The sequence below is a fragment of the Homo sapiens genome, chromosome X (assembly GCF_000001405.40).
Source record: "Homo sapiens chromosome X, GRCh38.p14 Primary Assembly".
In the NCBI taxonomy this organism is placed as follows: Eukaryota; Metazoa; Chordata; class Mammalia; order Primates; family Hominidae; genus Homo; species Homo sapiens.
The window spans coordinates 38,965,285-38,981,622 of record NC_000023.11 but is presented as its reverse complement, the minus strand read 5'-3'; the positions used below and the strand labels follow the sequence as shown (position 1 = coordinate 38,981,622).

The 16,338-nt window shown below is 41.1% G+C and overlaps 1 long non-coding RNA gene across 1 annotated transcript in view, besides 1 other annotated feature; it reads right to left on the bottom strand.

The window, feature by feature from the left end:
* The window catches only part of LOC124905177 (uncharacterized), a 148,876-nt gene that overhangs the window by 38,000 nt on the left and 94,538 nt on the right, over window positions 1-16,338 (bottom strand). The gene's annotated exons all lie outside the window — the stretch shown is intronic.
* Window positions 11,253-11,462: a silencer, noted in NCBI's record as "silent region_20738". NCBI's record gives its function as "represses an Ori minimal core promoter by ATAC-STARR-seq in GM12878 lymphoblastoid cells {active_cell/tissue: GM12878}" and the evidence as "EXISTENCE:reporter gene assay evidence [ECO:0000049][PMID:35858748]".

The window sequence follows — 16,338 nt, the reverse complement described above, 5'->3', positions numbered from 1 at the left end:
TGTGTCCACCCTAGACCTATGAAATCAGAAACTCTAGAGTGGAACCCAGCACTCCGTTTTCAGAAGCTCTTCAGGCGATTGTAATGTTCACTAAAATTTGATAAGCATTGGGCTAATTGGTAAGCTTTTTCTCAGTTAAGAAGGAGACAATTTTCCATTTAATGTACAAAAAAATTCTGAATCAGTCTATTGCAATAATGGCAGAGTGTCTTAGTCCATTCAGGCTGCTGTAAGAAAATACCATAGGCTGGGTGGCTTACAGACAACAGAACTTTATTTTTTCACAGTTCTGGAGGCTGGGAAGTCCAAGATCAAGGTGCCAGCAGATTTGATGTCTGGTGAGGGCCAGCTTTCTGGATAATAGATAGTGTATTCTTGCTGTGTCCACACATGTCAGAAGGAGCAAGGGAACTCCCCAGGGTCTCTTTTATAAGGGCATTAATCCCATTCATTTGGGCTCTACCCTCAGAGCCTAATCTCCCAAAGGTATCACCTCAGGGGTTAGTATTACAAAATATAAATTTTGGGGAGACACAAACATTCAGACCATAGTAAAGAGGCTATCCACTAAATTTCCTGCAGCTCAACAGGTTCCAGAAGAGGCAGTGTAACCTATCATCAGGATTCTGTTCAGTTTTTATGCGTAGAGGCAGAGACTGGAGAAGCTAAAGCCCTTCAGGAATTCCCCACTGATTTCTGATATGTGGAATCGGGGACTAGAGGGTCCTTCTGAGGGCTGGGGGTTGGGGGAAGATGGTTAGGAGGCAGTGACACAGGCAGGAGGAGGGCACTGATATTTGTCATTTTATTGTGAGAAGGGCTTTGTAGCTGGAGAAGGCAGGGAACTTTGCAGTTGCAATAATACCACTACCAAAAGTTAGCAGTTATTAAACATTTACTATATATCAGGCATATAATAACAGTCAGGCATGTAGATAACATATGTTAATTTGCCTTGAGAGGATTTTCTGTTTTAATTCTTCTAATAACCCTATAAAATCATTAATACCATCTTTTATTTTGGATAAGGAAATAAAGTGAGAATGAGGCTGAGTGACTTTTGAAAACATCACACTGTTAATAAGTGGTATCGTTGGGATTTGAACCCAGGTAGTCTGACTTCAGAGTTTGATTCTAACTTCTACTCTGTGCTACAACCTCCCTAGTGCTAAAGACCTTAAGAAGTTAAATATCCAGGATCTAGAAGGTCTTTGGCTGGTGCCAATGAGACACCCAGGCAATGGAATTGAGGGAGGAGGGTGAGTTACAGGGAAATGTATTAGTCAGAATAGGCTAGGTTATGTTGCAGTAACAAGAAACCCCTGAAATCTCAGTGTCTTAGACCAATGAATGCTCATTGCTTCTTCACGCAAAGTTCATCACAGGTACTCCTAGGTGAGTTGCTCTTCTGGGGAGCACTCCTCCCACCTAGATCAAACCCAGGTACCTTCCACTGATGGCTCCACTCTCCACTGGCAGATTTTGAAACCATCTGCATTCCACCAGCTGATTGGAGAAGACTCAGACCAAGTGGAGGATCTCACAAGTTATTTGAGGGGGCCCAAGCCTGGGAGCTGAGTACAGCACTTCCCCCCATTTTCCATTGGCCAGAACTAATTACATGACCCCACATCAATGCAAAGGAGCTGGGAAAGAGCCTTTCCTTCTTGGGTTCCCAGGAAGAAAATGAAAGGGTGGTGGACACCAGAATTGTTTCTGCCACAGAGACATTTTATCTTCCCATCCATGAAGAGGTGAACATTATAGTTTCTAGACATGATCTCTAAATCATTTTAGATTGTTCACACCTAATGGCAAAACATTTTAGGCCCATTTCAATAGATATACATTTATATAGAAAGCATATGCATTCACTTAAGCCAATTTAGGTATCATATATTTGGTTGTGCTTGATTTCTTTATGTTTTAGGTAAAGAAGTAAATATAAAGATAAGTTTAATTCTTTCCTTCTTCTTCCCCAATAGATTATCTCATTACTCCCTGGACTTTTATTTACTTATTTATTTATTGAGATGGAGTCTCATTATGTTGCTCAGGCTGGTCTCAAATTCCTGGACTGAAGTGATCCTCCTGTCTCAGCCTCCCAAGTAACTGACATTACAGGCACACACAGCACCACGCCTGCCCCCCCTGGTATTTTATGCCCCATTCTGAAGACCCCTGTTCCATAACTTAGAGAGCTGACCAGAGAGGGGACAGTTTTCTGTGTGAGAAGGAAAATTTCCTGGGGCACAAGGGTTTTCCAGAGATGTCTCAGCACAGCAAACAGAAATGGGCAGAGAGCAGGTGGGCTTGCTTTGAATCATTCCAACTCTTACAGTGAGGGACTTTATCCTGTCCATCTCTCCCTGTGCCCAGGTCCTTGACTTAGGTGGCAAGTATGGCATGAGACCCTTCCTATTAAGTAGGACTAACTGACCACCTAAACCCACTCCAACTCTAAGGTTCTACAAACCCATGAATACATAGGGCAGAGCTACAGAGTAGTGGGAACAGCAGGAATTGTGGGCAGTGTGGCAAGGCCTGCTGCACATGTAAGGAGCATGTATGGAAGTCTGAGAGCTGCCTTGATTCACTGCTGCACAGATGTTCCAACAGCAGAGGGGAAGGGCCAGGATAATGCAGTTTGAAAGCTAAGCTACTGTTAATATACGGCCCGTGGGTGTAAGCTGGTATAGAATTCAAAAAGAAAAATGTGAGGGCATAAAAGAATAATAATAGTGATAGCTAGCATTTATGGAGCACTTACCATATGCCAACCTCTGTTTTAAGTACTTTACCTGTTTAAATACATTACAATCCTTTGAGGGTGATATTATTATTAACTCCACTTTACAGAGGAGGAAACTGAGGCATGGGTGAGATTAACTGAAGTGTGTGGAGGTTTATTAACACCTTGCTACCCAAAGTGTGGCCCAGTAACCAGAATCATCAGCATCAGTTGGAAGTGTGTTAGAAATGCAGAACTGTGGACCCTCCTTGGACCCATTGAATCAGGGTCTCTATTTTAACAAGATCTCCAGGGGATGTGTGTGCACATCAGAATCCCCTAATTCTGGGGGAAGAAGGGTACCACAATGTCTTATTCAGCCCAGATCATCAGTGGCCCTTTTGTCAAGAGATTATTGCCTGTTTGCACTGAGGTTAGGCATCTGCCAAGCTAAATTCCCCTCTATATGCACCAGAAGTGGTATTTGCCATTCCCAAAGATGAAATGTCAGGCTGGGGTGGCCAGCATTTGCTATCATGGAAAAGTTATGTTTCCAAAAGGGAAGACCTTTTGAATTTGGTATGTGGAAATATTTCCTTGGTTTCTACTTTCTCTTTTCCAAGGACCTACAGCAGCAGTGGTTGAGAATGGGACTCCAAAAGCAGTCCGACTTCTTCTACCCCATATCTCAGATTGCCCACTTAGTGAGACAGGTCATTAGCCCTCCAAGCCTCCATTTCTTCATGGATCAAATGGTGATGTGTGCAAAATGGGGCAGCCTATAGGGATGGCATGAGGACAAAATAAGGTAATTAATGTAAAATACTCAGTGCTATGCTGAATACATAGTTAGTACTCACCCCAGTAAATCTTAACTATTTTGGGGAGTGGTTATAGATAGTTTTAGTTTGGGCTTATAATTGTAACTCTGAAACTTTCCTAGCTCTCTTGGAATTTGTTGTGTTACTAAATCTCAAGACAGAATCGCCAATTAGTGTAATAGTTGTTAAAAAGCAATTGAAGTTAGAGACCCCATTTTCCCCCAGTTTGGAAAACTATGTTGCATAAATGAATAACCAAATACTGATAAACAAATATCTTCATGTTGGAAGAGGATTCTAGAAGCAGTTCTGTCTTCCAGATTATTCAGAATTTATTTGAATTGTGTTCCTCTGTATTGTTTCGTACTGTCTTTTCTCAAGTGGGTAACTCTTAAAGTTGGTACATTCAATTATTTTGCACAGAAAATTTTTTTAAATTTTATAAACTATCAGGTGTATTTGGTGTTTTTTCAGAATGCATATGTCAGTGATAAATTCAGATAAAAGAGGACACAGATCCAGCATGTGTAGCAAATAGAAACAAAAAGAGTTATCAGTGATGCTAAATACATTTTCTTTTCTGTTAATAATTATATATACTACTGTAACTAGAATTCTTTTCATTTATCTGGGTATGTGTTAACAGTAGGTCACATACACCCATTCCAGAATTATTTCACCTAAACAGTATGATTTTTAAGCAAATTTTTGTTCATTTGGGCTGAACACGGTAGCTCATGCCTGTAATCCCAGTACTGTGGGAGGCTGAGGCGATGGGTCGCCTGAGGTCGGGAGTTCAAGACCAGCCTGGCCAACATGGTGAAACCCCTTCTCTACTAAAAACACAAAAATTGGCCAGGTGTGGTGGTGCTCACCTGTAGCCCCAGCTACTAGGGAGCCTGAGGCGAGAGGATCGCTTGAACCCAGGAGGTGGAGGTTGTAGTGAGCAGACATTGCACCACTGCACTCCAGCCTGGGAGACAGAGTGAGACTCTGTCTCAAATAAATAAATAAATAAAGTGTTGCTCATTTGCCCCCAAGGAAAACCCATTCACAATAAACAGATTTGTGGTGGCCAGCTATCTTCCACTGGACCCATAATGTGGACCCATAATGTGGAAAGAACACAGTCCTGGGCCTGCTGCTACTACTGCTAATTCTGCAACCTCATGCAACTCACTCAACTTCTCTGGACCTTGGCTTCCACATCTCTAAAATAGGGATTTAAATATGTGGCCCAACTCCCTCACTGTCCTCCCTTGTGGTGAAAAATAAATGAAAGTAATCCATAAGTTCTAAGCTAAAGATATATATAAGTTTTGGTCAACTGATATTTCTTTGTTTGGTCAGATGTGGAGATATAACTGAAGAGTTTTTTTTTTTTTTTTTTTTTTTTTTTTTTTTTTTTTTTTTTTTTTTACTCACGTGGAAGATAAAGAGAACAGGCTCCATTTATTATTATTTCCATTAAAAGCCCAATTGTGTGTTTATGTTTGTGTTTGGATGGAGGGCACATGTATGTGTGTAATGATTTGGAACAAAATAGGCTGAAAGTGTAAGAGGGAGACACAGAAACAAACATAAAGCCACTGAGACCACTATCACTAGGAATCTTGTTATTGGCACCAACTAGTTGTGTGACCTTGTATAAGTCATATTCTCCCTTGAGGCCTAAGTTTTCTAACCTATAAAATGAACAAATTGGACTAGATAATCTCTGGCATCTCCTCAACTTTCAATGTCTATGGTGTTCTTCCCTGTCAGGCTTGACACAGTGGTTACCTCCCCTATACAATGATGATGGATGAATCAACTCACAAAAGCTGTGTGGGGCCAGTTCACACTCTGTCCACAACTCTGTAACAAAGGCCAACTGTCTGCTCAGGTAAGTAGGCCTTTATGGTTCCATAGTGTACCAGGATTGGTGGCAAAGTAAATGTTACAAAGGAAAAAAGGGGGAAAGGAAGATAACCCATCAGGATATGACACATATTACTAATAATCTGTACCACGATTTGTTGTTTTCAAAACACTTTCACAAATAATATCCATATTGGCATCTCCATAAGGATGAGATCAGAATATTCACTGCTATATCCCATGATTGACATAGCCTGAGCCTGGCACATAGGCTTAGCACATGCCTATTACAAAAAGAGATAAATGAAACATCCCATTTCATCCAGTGTGGTGGATGTGGTTTTCCCATGTCCAGATGAGAAAATTGAGATTCAGAAGAGGTAGGTGATTGTCTAAGGTCATTTTGCTATTAAGCAGATGAGCTGTAATTTTATTGTGCCTCCCATCTCTAAACCTGTGCTTATTCCCTATGACATCATCCACAGTGTGATAGATTATAAAGAAATGGCCAGAAATTCATTGCACCTCCCCCCACCAAGAGGTTGAGTCTTTTTCTTTACCCACTGAATCCCAAGCTTGGCCATGTGACTTCCTTTGGCAAGTATGATGTAAAAAGTATGATAAGTATGATAAGAAATATGATGATTGGCAAATATGATGCAAGAAGAGGCTTGAAAAATAGTTTGCACATTGGGGCTTGCTCTTTCTTGCTGCTGGAAACACTTCCACTACCATGTGAAGAAGCCCAGTATGGCCTACTGGAAAATGAGAGTCTGTGTGGGAAAAGGGGCTCCAACAATCCCAGCTGTCCCAAGCATCCCCACTGAGGCTCCAGACACTTGAGTGAGGCCATTCTAGACCATCCAGTCCCAGTCAAGCCAGCTTAAAGCAGAAGTCACAGAATCTTCAGCAAACAAATGATTGTTGCTTTAAGCCATTAAATTTGGGGTTGATTTGTTACACACAAAGAGCTAATTGATACAAGCAGCATTGCACCATCAGTGCTTAATGTTCCATGTTTATCATTATTTTATGCTAAACTACCCTTCTTTTTCACGCTTAACCTTAAAAAGTCATTCCTCATGCAAACACATATGCACACACTAGAATGCACACCAATGTACACAGATGCATATGCATCCTTTGACTTAAGCTCAGGGTAAACAAAGAATACCAGCTTTTATAAAATTCTGTTTAAGTACATGAAGCTGGCTTGAAGAGGATCTAGGTCCTAAAAGAAAGATTTCAAGTATTGCTCTGGTTTTAGGTTGCAGCCGGCTAATGGCTGTCCCTTGCATCACTGGTGACTGGTTCTGTGGGGAAATCTGGAGTGGGTAAGGAAAGAAAGGATGTGGCAAAACGACAAAGAGGAGTAAAGGTTTCTCACCTGGTGAGTCTGGCCATTCTCAGACCCCCAGGCTTGAACACAGGGCCAGTCTCATAGTCTCTGCCAACTGCTGTCAACAAGTCAACTTGAGACATTTCACTCAGGCTAGCAGGCATGAAGGACACCACCCACTACTTGAGTAAGCCAGCAATATGTGTGCATGGAGATGCCAACTGACTGGCCAACCGTAGGTAGTTATTCAAAATCCAAGGTTACAGCAAAGAAAGTTCATCTCTCCCCAGAGCCTACTGTCTCTTGGATTGGCACCACCATGCCCTGCCTGGCTTTTTAAGGGGGAGTTGGCTGCTGTCAGCTAGCAGGAGCCCAAGCTCACAGCTGCTGTGCCTTCCACCAACTCAGGGTCTGTCGGTCAGGCCATTTCTATGCTCAAGTCACAATCACACAATCACAGAACATCTACATTTAACCAACCATGAGGGGCCTGAAAACTCATCCAGTGAGACAACAGAGGTGAAAAAACTACTGGAGTGAATAAAACAAAGCCCAACAAAAAGTGCTAATGCCCGGTAGAAGAGCTGAACTACACAGAAATAACAGAGCCATATAAGGCACCACCACATAAGGGACCACATGCAAAGACCTGAGAGTCCAAGAATAATACTTGGCATATAGTAGATGCTCAATAAATATTTGTTGAATGGATGACTATAAAGCAGTCCAGCCACAGAAACGGAGTTTCATGTCTATTCTCAGATCTTAAACAATAGAAATGCATTTGGCCTTCCTTGATGAAACCTGGCTTTTCTTTGAAGACCAACTCTGACCCTCAGAAAGGGAGGCACTACAGGCTACATGTTAACTGTCAGCACAAATGCTTTCTAATTACCTTAGAAACAGAGATTTAGGCCATTACCTTTCTCTTCAAGTGGCTTTGGCCTAGATGAGATCAAATAAATTGGTGTCCTCCATCTCAACTAAATTGTTTGGTAGAAAAACTTTGTATGTTACAGCAAGAGTTAACTTACAATTCCCTGCCTCCAAATAAAGGGTTTACTTGTATGTTCATTTATTTATGCTTCAGCTCCCTGCACAGAAGCTTTAAGGCAGTGACAGAAAAATATCAAATGCAGTATTCTGTTTTCAAGCTAAACAGCATGGAGAAGAAGGGAGCTTTAAAAAAAAAAATTCCTGGCAGCCTCTTTTGACCTACACTTCGCATTCTGTGTAATGTACATGTGCAAGAGATTGCAATGGTGGGAAGGTCATGTGGTGTCAGCCCAGCCCACACAGGGGATGTGAGCCTCCAGGCAAATCGCAGCTGAGCCTCTGGCCAAATGAGGTCACGAGATGGGAATGTCAATTCCAGAGAATGTATGTTTTCTGATTTTACAATACAATTTGGGGAGGTGACAGATCCTATCATTACAAATTCAATAGAGTTCAGGGAGGGGACAGGGAAGGAGGGAAGTGGGAGTAGTGTGTGCCAATTTACCAGCTCTAAGTCCCTGCATTTCTCTCTTTGTGCAATCAAGAGTAGTCATAGGTAGTTTCCAAGGAAATTTTTTTTGTGTTAATTTGTTTGTTTTTAACTTTTAAGTTCAAGGGCACATAGGCAGGTTTGTTATATAGGTAAACTTGCATCATAGGGATTGGTTGTACAGATTATTTTGTCACCCAGGTATTAAGCCTAGTACTCATTAGTAATTTTTCCTGATCCTCTCCCTCCTCCCACCCTCCTCCCTCTGATAGGCCCCAGTGTGTGTTGTTCCCCTCTATGTGCCCATGTGTTCTCATCATTCAGCTCCCACTTATAAGTGAGAACACACTGTATTTGGTTTTCTGTTCCTCCATTAGTTTGCTAAGGATAATGGGCTCCAGCTCCATCCATGTTCCTGCAAAGGACATGTTCTCATTCTTTTTATAGCTGTGTAGTATTCCATAGTGTATATGTACCACATTTTCTTTATCCAGTCTATCATTGATGGGCATTTAAGTTGATTTCATGTCTTTGATACTGTGAATAGTGCTGCAGTGAACACATGCATGCATGTGTCTTTATAATAGAAAGATTTATATTCCTCTGGGTATATACCCAGTAATGCGATTGCTGGGTTGAACGGTATTTCTGTTTCTAGGTCTTTGAGGAATCACCACACTGTCTAGCCTGGGAAACAGGGCAAGACCCTGTCTCAAAAAAAAAAATAGTATTTTTTCCATTATATAAATTATCACAATTTGTTTATCCAGTCACCTGTTGATGGATATTTTGTTGTTTCCAGGGGGGTTTTGGCTACCAAGAATAATTTTGGATTGATGGAAATACATTATAGGTTCACAGGTATAAGTGGAATAGACCTATCAACTCATACATTCTACTTCCCACTATCACATGGTGAACCTTCTCAAGTGGCTGACATTTTTAAGTGATGAAATCCAAAACAATCTTCAACTTAATCTGATTCCCATTCATTGAGCATATATATATATATATATATATATATATATTAATTTTATTGCCTCATAAGGTAAGATACAAAAATAGAAGTAATTTATATAAATGAAAATTATTAGTCTTTAATGTCACCTGGGACCAGAGAGAGGGGAATACACATTTTCGTGGTCTCTGAGTTCTGTGCTCACCAGGACAAAGAGTTATCCACTGCTGTATTTCTCATTTTTTTCACTGGGTCTGGGTCAGGTTTTAGGGAAGGAAGCCACCCGACCTAAAGCCAAGCTAAACTCAAGACCCTAGTGTTCATGAGGTCCCAATTCTCCAACTGCTAGTAGAAGAAACCTCTTCTGTCGTCTCAAAAATACATAAAATACCTTTAACATCTCTATACCCTTATCACCCATTCTCTCCTCAATGCATCACAGTCCCACTGCCAATATTAAATAAGATGAGCACTGAGAAGTTTCCACTGGATTTAACATCCATTGGTGATATTAAAGAGGACAGTTTCATGAAGTGGTGGAGCTGGGGTAAAGTTTTAATATGGCCAGAAGGAAACAGAGGAAACTGAGCTAAGGATAGGAAGAGAGCACCCTAAGAGGCAGAAGGAGGTGCAGAAAAGGAAGTTTCTAGAAGCTATTTTCACCCTCTTTAAAAATTCACCTAGAGCCAACCCAGCCTGGTCACCAACTCAGGACTCAGGGCTGTTTTCGCTCCACTTCTCTCTCAGTGAGGGGCTTGGCACCCTCCTCAGATTTCTTTTAGTCTCAGAATAGCCCCACCCATGTCTTCTGCAGCAGCCTGGAACTGTAGTATTGTTCTCTGGTCCTTGCCCCAACTAAGAAAGTCACTGTCTTAACAGGATGCCAACGCCTTGGCAGGAATCATCTCTGCTCCCCAGAGGTCAATAATCCTCTGGCCTCTGGAATCTTCCTTTCCCCCTTGATCCCTTCTGTTTGTCTTGTTCCAGTCCCCTGAAGAAAGTTCACTTGCAAACTTCCAAGGAGGCTTCTGGCCTCAGGTGAAGTTGGGCTTCTTGCCTATTATTTTAAGCTACCAGCCCAGGCTTTCTGGCAGCGTGGGACATTAATGGCAGCTTTGCCATGTTTCCTAGAGTCCACGAGGCTACCCTCAGATCCTTTTAACAACACTACTCCTACCTACCTCCAATTCCACTCTTCCCATTTTAAAACCAGTGGCCCCATCGGACCTCCCACTCAATTCTAGTTTCCTGGTAATTGGAGCCATCTAATTCTCAGTTCATTTTTAGGACAGATATGACTGACATAACTCAATGTGATCATCAACAGATCATATCTCATCCATATTCTCCCTGGTGACTCGTTCAAACCACCACTGCCACACACAGTTTCCATTCCCATACCCCTAGTTGTGTGAGCTCTCACAGTCCTCAGGTGGCTGCCATAGAATATCAAAATGCTTTAAACACATGATGACAACAGCAGATACAGTTTCTATTACAGGAAGATTCCTCAACAGAGACATCATCGTGAATATCAGCTATTATATTATTGTGATGTAATAAGATGAAGTTATTATGTGATACAGTCATGTCAGTTGGTTTGTTCACATTATTTGCTGAAAGAAAATCATGGTTTTTTAGGGTTTTGTTTGCGTTTAGTAACTTTTTTTTCATCTCTTTGTTGTTATCAGTCGTGAGCTCTATTTGCTGGTGTCATTGTACCCATCTGCAGCATCACTGGCCATGCTACCTTTTAATTTGCTGTTTCTAAGAAAACATGTTAGAAAAATTGCAAAGGCTCCAAGTGATGACAATCTGAGTGGGAACAGTGCCTGAAATATTATAAGAACTCAAAATATATTTTAAAAATACTAAGAACTAAATAAAAAGAAACTGTCCTGCTACAACACATGGAAAGTCTAGATAAAATATAGCACTATTCCTCCCCAAATTTTAGGAAAAGCACAGAGCTTGGCTTGAAAGAAAGACAAACATCCAAGTATTAGATAAGAAGAGGAAAATGAAAACCAGAGCAGTAAATACATACTGGTACCATGGTGTCCCACAAGAACTTCAGCCCAGATATAGGCTCCAGGGACTAAGACAGGGGCTTTAATAACCTGACACATACAGAAACTGTGGCCTCAGGCTTATGCAAAGTGACCGCTCAAACTGAGCCACCTGCATAGAACTTGGAACCACAGAAATGCCCTGCCCATTAGAAGGGTACAGAATTACTCTGTCCACTGGCTCAGTGGGGGCAATAAGGATACTTGCTGTATGTCTGGGCCTTAAGTAGATAAATTTTTAAAAAAAGACATCTATGCAAAATAAACAACCCAGGCCTCTATTCCTTGAAGATATAAGTATTAGTTAATACTACCTATGGGTATAGAAAACTCAAGTTGAGAAATTAACATAAAAACCGGCCCAAGGCCTGGGAAACCCTAGGGTTTTGGTAAAATTAACATGAAATCTGAAGAACACAGGGACTTTCACATAGGTAAGCAAAAGCTACAGATAAGCTCAAAATTTAAAAAAAAATTACTAGCTACACAAGGAAAGTAAATACCATAAGGGATAGTTAGCAGATGCAACAAAGAGAAAAAGTACAGCCTGACCACTGGAAATAGTAGAAAAATCTGAAGGAGCTTATAAAATAAAGATCCTAAAAGTTATTAAAGAGATAAAGGAATAAATAGATATTATAATGTAATAGTAATGATAAACTTGTAAAAATAATAATAACTTGTAAGAACTGTAATTAAAATTTAGAGTGACTTTAATAATTTGACAACAAAACCTGAGTGAGGTAACTTCTGTAGAAAGGGGCAGCAGGAAGGGGCTAGGAGAGAAAAAGGGAAAGGAACAAAGAAACACCTGAAATGAGTATAGAAGCCTCACCACTGTGCTGTATGCTCCCAGAGAGTAGGTCCTGGGATTATTTTCTATTTGACCTTGCATATTCTTGTGTGTCCAGTCAATCCCTGTTATAGAAGAAGACTTCAAAAAATGCTTATTGAATGAATGCAGTAACAAAAGAACAAGCTATAGGTAAAAGGATTAATGAATAATGGAGGAAAGTCTTCCAGGCACCATTCTGGATTAAAGTTTTTCTTTTCTCTCTTAAAGACCAAGATATCCACCCCCAAAACTCATTCCACCTTAGCAATGACAGTCATTCATGAGTCAAGGCCATTTATAGACATCCAGAGGCAGCAGACTTTTTTTTAAAATAAAGTATTTTGCAGAAGGCCCCAGCTGAGTTCATTATCTTTGTACATTGTGGCTGCACTGAGAGCTACACTCCAGCCCTGTATGGATTTAAGCAAGAGCACATGGGAACAGAAAGAGCTAGGACAACAGAAACACAGTTAGAGAAGTCCATGTAGGACAAAGCAGAAGGTCTCTGCTTTGAATGTTTCACAGTTGCTAACAGAGGGCCAGAAAGCTGCCCGATATCAATGACTTGACTTGTCACGAGGGATGTGGCCAGTCCAGCTTCTATTTGGATGAGACTGGTGGCATATGAATGTTGAATCAAATCAAAGCCAAACACAGAAACAGATGACAAAAGATAAAGAGGAACTATTCCAGAATCAGCCCGATGATGATGCATCTGTAGCTTCTTCATCTCTCTAATGAAAGGGAAGTATCAATTAATCCAAAAAACCACCCTGTCATGATGGCTTGAAATCATGCTTCAAATTTAGGATCCAGTTGTTCTCAGTTTATCTTTTAGTTTGCTAGAAAATTCACTGGATTTTCTCCAACCCCCTCCACTCTAATGTTCCCACTGCTCTTAGATTACTCAAGATGTTAAGCCTGTGGAAGTAGTTCCTGCAAGTGGAAGCAGCAATAAACTTTGTTGCTATGGGCAACACAAAACACTCTTCATGAGAGGTTAACACTCCAGAATATGGGAATCAGATAAATGTTTCTGTGCCTGTTGTAACCACTCTGGGAAATGAAACATGCCAGATGGCTTTCTGACCTTTAATTTTTTTCATCTAGAAAATTAAGATGAATGGAAGAGGTTCAGGGCATAGGTTTGGTTACCAGGCTGTCTAGGAATTGAAGTTGGGTGTTTTATTGAATAGTTAAGTGACCTTGGTGAGTTACCTAGCTTCTCTGAACTCATCTGGAAAATAGGAATAAGAATATTATCAGTTGAATTTGCCTAGGTGGGTAGGATGCCATTCTACCATACTGTCCTCATGGAACAGCTGGGAAGACAAAATGAGATGATGTATGTGATTATAGCTCTCTGAGTTACTCAGAGCACCATGAAGACCACTGAGAACACTTGTCATGGATTTTTTAATGCTCTGCTGTGTATAAAACTCCTGAGGGAACCATAATCTTGAAACAGAATTTTAGGGTTGGTGAATAAAAAGCCCCCAGCAGAATCGGAGAATTTACAGCATATCCCCTTCATCACCCCTTACTACAACCCATCAAAACAGAAACAAAATCCAGCCCGTATCCCAGTGCATAGATTTCTACATGTAGACTCATGGTATCTACACTTTCAGAGAATGCACACATAAAAATGCACAGCAAAGTGTTAACAGAAGTCACCTCTTGAGTTTGTGACTAAGCATGAATATGATCTTGTAGATTAAAGATGGTGCAAAACTCTTTGCTACTCCTCCCATAAAGAGGTGGAGTCTAATGTCCAACTTGTATCCTGGCTCACCTTACTGACTTGCTTGATCAATAGCATGCAGTGAAATTTATGTTCTGGGACTTTCCAAGCTAAGTCATGAGAAGCCTTGCAGCTTCTGCAAAGCTCTCCTAGGATGCTTGCTGTGGAGGAAGCCAGTTGTCACATAAGGATTCTGACTACCCAGAGGCTACCATGCTGGAGAGGACACATAAAGTGAACATGTGGCACTGAGACATGTGCCTTAAGACTACCTGAAAAAGGAGAGAGAAGTGACGGGCCAGCCCCTATGACTTCCGATCATTCCCAGCTGGGGTCACAGACATCGCAAGGAGGAGAGTCGGGTTTTCCCTGCTGAGCACTGCCTAAATTGCAGATTCAAAAGCAAAATACATGTTGCTTCTTTATGCCACTAAGTTTTGGGGTGGTTTGTTACATAGCAATACATAACTGGTAGAAAATACATTTCTTTATTGTCTGAATTTTTTTGCAGCCAACCCATGTTTCTCTTTTAGCTTGAAAATAAAAGGAGAAAACTGAAAGGAAAATGTAAAAGAGAAGAAAGTCTTTTTAGAAAAGCAGAGGAGGTCTCTCCTGTACTCTAGCCATATCACTAGCCTCACCAACAACCTTCCCCTATTCTGGTTAACTTGGATTGTCATGGGCTATTCACCTTCCTCTTCTGAAGAAAACCACCAGTTGATGCCTCCTGTCATCTCATACAAAATAGATCCTGTTCCAAACAGCTACAAGCACAGGGCAAAGCCCTTCAGAGATTCTGAGACAAGAGCTCAATCTCGTTCCAGGTTGATAAATCATTCAAGGTGTCCCCACGCCCATTTTGCAACGCCATCGTTCATAAACTAATTTGACTTGAATCTAGCTAAAAACAAAGGGGAGCAATTGCTTTAGAATCTGGAACCTGGAATCATCATGGTGCAACTTTGGAGAGGGTCAGCCTTTCCAATTAGGGAATGTGGTCTTTAGGAGTTGGGATCAGACGAGATCTCAGGGAGTCTTCTGTTCTGCATCTGGGAGATTTTTCATGTCACTCCTTGGCTTCTGCCTTCATAAAACAAAGAAGTTTGTCTTGATGGCCTTGAAGACCTCTTGTAGTTGCAAAGTTTAATGCTTGCAGCTAAAGCAGAAGCCCAGGTCTTGCTTTGCAACATGTCAGACAAATCAACGGTGGGAAGAAGTTTCAATAATGTGATCACAGGCAGAATGAAAATGCTTCAGCACAACCTACAAGCACATTTTCTCCTTCCTCCATCCCCTTTAGTGAAGGCCCAAAATTCTGGTGTGTAAGAAGGTTTTAGAAGGAAAGGAATGTCAATTTGGCATAGGCTTTGTATTCTGAGGGAGATAAAGTGTACTCACCATTTTTCAAAAGGAATATGATGTATGTGTGACACCCTGACATAAGTAATTCTTGGAAATAATTTTCAATGTTTCCTGGTGGAGTTGTTTGGGGTTTCCTAGTGCTTCCTGTATAAGCCATTTTAGATTGTATACCAGGCATCCCCTCCTCCTAACAGCAAAGCAGGAAGAAAGCAGCTTTCTGAGAGAATGAACCTCTCCCCCACCCCTTTGATGCAAGAATTCCCTCATCAGTTAAATGGAGAATCAGCTCACCCAGTGAATTCTAATGAGGCAGCCGGCTTAGCTGTCAGCAGTCCTCCCTGCTTAAGACGACAGCAAGCGAGGGAAAGGATTGCACACTACGCGTACCAAGCAGTTTACCTTCCCATGCCGAGGGACAGGAACATCAGAACAGCTTCCAATGGGGCTGGGCTCACTGACAAACCCAGCAGCAAGGAACACTGGAGCAAGTTACCCTGGGTTTAAGGACTCCTGCAAAATATGGCTGGTATAGAATGGCAAATTTAAGAAATTGATTAAGATTCATCCTGATTAATCTGATGAAAATCTGGGTTTTGAAATATAGATATATCTAGGAACTAAATTGCCCTAAAATAAGATACAGGAAATATATAGATATACAAAAGCACCCTTTGGATGCTGGCTCTGAATTGAAATGGGAAACATTTCAATTTTAGTATTAAGGGCAACGAGTGAAGGTCCGTTTTGCTATTAGTTGAGAAAGCAGGGAAACCACTTACAATGACGACGCTGAGAAATCCATAAACAAGGCTGGAAGCAAAGTGGCAGGGGTCCTAGACTGACCTTGGCCACTGGTTCTGTTGCTTGAGAAAAAACAGATAAGCACCAGGCCTATGCTTCTGAAACAAGGGAAGACAGTGAAATGTCAGATGGACACGTACCCCAGGAATAAGCATGGCACATCTTGCAAAAGCATCAATCTTGATAACTTTAAATTATGCTTCTTTTTAATTTGAAAATCGACTTTGTGAGATAGAAAAAAAAATTTAAGTGTACATGAGTTTTAGCAAATGTAAATACCCATACAAACACCACCACAATCAAAACAAGGCAAATTTCCTCATCATCTTCCA